Below are 4,356 nucleotides of genomic sequence, written 5' to 3' on the forward strand. Positions count from 1 at the left end.
AAGATTTTTCCCATAATGCCAAAATATTAAGACATGAGAAAGATAGAATGAAGAGTTTCAGAGAGAAAATAAAGTAGGGATGAGAGACGCAATTCAAAGATCTACTGGATGAGATTTCCAGGACTGACCAAAAATACAAATAATCAGATTTAGGGAAGGAATAAAGGCCTTATTATGATGAATAGGAAGAAATTTGAACCTAAGACATAACATCATGAATCTTCAGGTGAATGAAGGTAAAGAGAATATCTCAAAAGAAGCCACATTAAAAAAATCCAAATTAATGCTTACAAAAATTAATTTAAATAAAAATTAATCAGATAGTTGATATTTTCAACTGCCACAATGAAAATCAGTATATACCCAAATAATTGTAAAGAAATGACAAGGTAAAATCATGTATCAGTTATTTAATAATAAGAGTCCATTAAAAACATTTTTAGCCAAACTAAAAACTAAGATTATATAACCTAAAGGAGTTCTTTCGTTTATACAGCAAAAATTAGTGAAATAGATCCAAAAGAATAGTCTAAGATGCAAAAATAATGGTGACTAAAATCGGAAATGTAGATAAATCTAAACAAATTTACTTTCTGGGATTATACAAGATACAGTTAAGATACTGAACAACCTTATAAATCAGGGAGGTTCTCGTTAAAATTAATATCTTTAAAGATCCTTATATTGTTGACGCAGAAGATGGAAAATAGCCAATAAAAAGGAGTAAAGGAGGTTGGGGAGATGGATAAAAAAGGTAGAACAAGAAAACCCATAATAAAATAGTAGAAATCAATCCAAATTGTATTAGCAACCTCATACAAATAAAACCCTACCCCGGTTATGTTATTTTATAAAGACATGTCAAAATATGAGCATAAATAAAGATTGAAAGCAAAATGTGGAAAAATATATGGCTACATACAAATCAAAGAAAAGTTAAGAGTATCCATAGCATAATGAAACGGCACTATTCGTCTAGGGTAATACCTGAGGTTCATTGTCTCACGCCAAGGAAATCCAGGACTCAGACACACAAGAAATGAGGTTAAGAGTGGACGTTTAATAAGCGACAGAAAGAGAAAGTTTTCTCCTGAAGAGAGAGGGGTCCCAGAGAAAACGAGTAGCCAGTTCCAGTGAAATGCATATGGTTTCATAGATGAGCTTGAGGAGGTGCTGTCTGACTTACATAGGAAACGAAAGATTGGTTGGAACAGGTGTGCTATTTACATAGCTTAGGAAGAAGCTGGCCGCCCCACCCTAATCTTTTATTATACAGATGAGTTATGTACCTGGCCGGCGCCATGTTGTCTGCCTCTTTAATGTACAAGTGGCGACAAAGAAGAGGGAAGATGGAGCCTCCACGCTGAACATACCTTGTTTCCAGGAAGCCCTTTTCTATTGGCATAGCTACTGGCATTCACCCATGCAAGCTTCCACCTTGCTTATCTATGTTTGCAGCTCAATTTTTCAGGCTGCTCTTTGTTAGGAAACAAATGAATTGGGGGCTGCTTTTTGTTAAAAGGGAAACCTTGCCGAGGACTCTGTTGCCCTTACTATCTGCCTAAATAATTTCCTTTTAGCTCCTGTATTAATATTAGACCAAAAGATTTTTGGCAATAGATGTTACTGGAGAAAAAAAGCTACACATAATCTAAATATAAGGCACATAATTTAAAAATCAGTCACAAAAAGAAAACTAGAATTAGAATAACTAGATTAAACCCAGAGACCTCTACTAGTTTTATATAAATTTGGAGGTTCTAAAGTTTCCTTGAGAATAGATACCTTGGTGGCTTAGTTCTCAGAAATAGCAGGCCTTTTTTTCAGGTACCTAATACAGTGTGCAAAGTGTTAGAAATTGTTTTCTTGGGACATAGTTTGGACTTGAGTAGTGAGTTCCAGTCTTTAGTGCATATGGCAGGATAAACATAAAATGGGAGTGCTGTTAATGTTACGAGAATGGAGAGACTTCACTGAAAAGCTTTGGAATACATTGCAAGCAAACTTAATGAAGAAAATACATTAAGTGCAAGAGAAAAAGTGTCACCTAACAAAGAGCACTGTAAACTGGATTATTGGATTAGGAATGGGGAAAGTGAACTACACCATATTGGAATATATAGTTTTCTCTGCTGCACACTGAAACTTACCACATTTAATCCCAGATAATTATTACATCAAAAATTTTAAGAAAAGCTCTTTTTAGAATTTTGACTAAAAATTCATTATAAAGGTTTATTTTATGAAGTTATAGATTAGCTGCAAAACAAGCCTGTTTCTAGTGGACAGTCTTTGTGAAAAGTCTTTTTTATTATTATTCATTTCATTCTTAAAGGCTATAATTTATAAAATCATTCAGCAATATTTTTTAGTTCAAACTTAAGCTCTGCTGAAAATCATAGGGAAGTTATTTATATTTACGTAAAGATTATGCCATCTGTTCTCATTTTTTTACATTATCAGCATTCAGGATTTTCTAAGCTTAAATTGCTCAGAGAAATAAAGTTGGATTTCCTCTAACTTGTTTCCTACTGCATAAGTAAGGTGTGAAGTGAATACGAGCTTTAAAACCCAATGAGTATAAATATCCAAGAATGAGGCTAAATTTTTCCAAGTATGAACCCATGGCTTGATTTTTTTTTCTTACATAATATGATGTCATTTTTTTTTTCATTTTAAAGAAAATATTGGAGCTTCTAAAAACAATGTATGTTCTGGAGTCAGAACTACACAGAAACAAAAATGTAAATGTTTTGCTCTGTCTGGCTGGTAACCATATAAATGTAGTTAAAAAGACATATTGGGTTATTTCCTGTTCTTGCTAACTAAGCTCATTCCTCGTGTTTTGTTTCTAATAGGACTAATTTGCATCACATTGTTTAACATATTGGTCTTTTTTCTCTAAATAGGAAAAGAGTGCTGGAAAAAGTTTTAAGGGTTGATTATAAAACTTTCACTAAAATGCCTTAGGTAGAATATCAATGTGAAGGGTATAAGTAATCTTAAGAAACTTCTTTGAATCTTAAGAAACTTATTTCTCTACAGAGGATTTTCCATTGGTTTCCGCAGGGAGTACACAACTGCTATGCCCACGCATATCTGGAGCACTGCTCTTTTTCAAATTGAGTTCATGTGTATTTATGTCTATATATACCCATTTTGATAGTAATAAATCAAAGGAAGAATTTCAAGAAGATTTCTGGTCTGTCCTCACATCTCCAAGCATAATTGCCTTGGAAAGAGCCCAGAAAAAGAATGATTTGACTTTTCACTAATAACATCACAGAAAATGATTCCACACCTAAGCATACTTCTCTCTAGCATTCCAAACCTTTGAAAGAGTGCATTTCTACCCATTTGAACTTAAACACTTTAGTCATTTTACAAACCCATTAATTTTCGGGTCCTTCTTCTCCTGATCACTCTTTTCAACTACATAAAACTAGCAAAATAATTTTGCCTTGTGCTCTTTCTTCCCCAAATCCTTCTGCTTCTTTTCACCAAATTTTAAAACCAATAAAACACTCTTTAGGATCTCATACTTATTTTGTTATAGAGACATTTACTAATGTGTTTAAAACATGTATGGGGAAAAAAAAGTGAAAATTGAGCCAAATAGGACTCTGAGTTGGAGAATTTTTAAATTGGCAAGCAAGTCAAGGAGGAAAGGAAGATCATAACAGTTATTTTCCTTAGATTCCTTATAAAACACTGACAGAATGTCTCACTATTATGGCTCTATTATAGCTCCAGAGTTTACATGTGTGTGTGTGGGTGTGTGTGTGTGTGTCTATTAAAGCAATTTACTTTCTTAAGTACTGAGAATGGGCCCAGATTTCTCCTAAGATATACTTATTGAGGTAGATACACAGATTCATAGATAGGTAGACATATCTTTTGATTCAAATCTATCAGAAGTGTTGCATATTGCCCACAGTTCTTCAGTTATACCATTAAAAATCCAGTAATTTAAAAAAAGCATAAAAATGATCTATAGTAATTATTATAAATTGAAGTAATAAAAATTGGATAATGTAAATTACATTTGTTTTTAGATTTTTAATTTAATTTTTCAAAAGCAAATGTCTTTTCCTCAAATCTTTGGTATTTTTCTTAAACTGTTAGCTTTATACTTACTACATAAACCCTTTTTCTCTGATTTATATTTCTCAGTTTTCACTCTGTTCACACACATTTATCAAACTTAGAGCTCACTAATTTTAATAGAGTATGCTAAAACATAAAAAAAAATTGTTTACTATAGGGAAAGCACTGTGTTGGGAACCATTTGAATTCAAAATGCATAAGCAATCACTGTATTAAAGAACTTCTCGGGCCAGGTGCAGTGGCTCATGC

General features: G+C 32.8%; 1 annotated feature.

The window, feature by feature from the left end:
• Nucleotides 1,052-1,553: an enhancer, noted in NCBI's record as "NANOG hESC enhancer chr12:85083456-85083957 (GRCh37/hg19 assembly coordinates)". NCBI's record gives its function as "activates a minimal SCP1, AML or CMV promoter by ChIP-STARR-seq in naive H9 embryonic stem cells {active_cell/tissue: H9 hESC(naive)}" and the evidence as "EXISTENCE:reporter gene assay evidence [ECO:0000049][PMID:30033119]".

This window comes from Homo sapiens, chromosome 12, assembly GCF_000001405.40.
Source record: "Homo sapiens chromosome 12, GRCh38.p14 Primary Assembly".
Classification (NCBI taxonomy): Eukaryota; Metazoa; Chordata; class Mammalia; order Primates; family Hominidae; genus Homo; species Homo sapiens.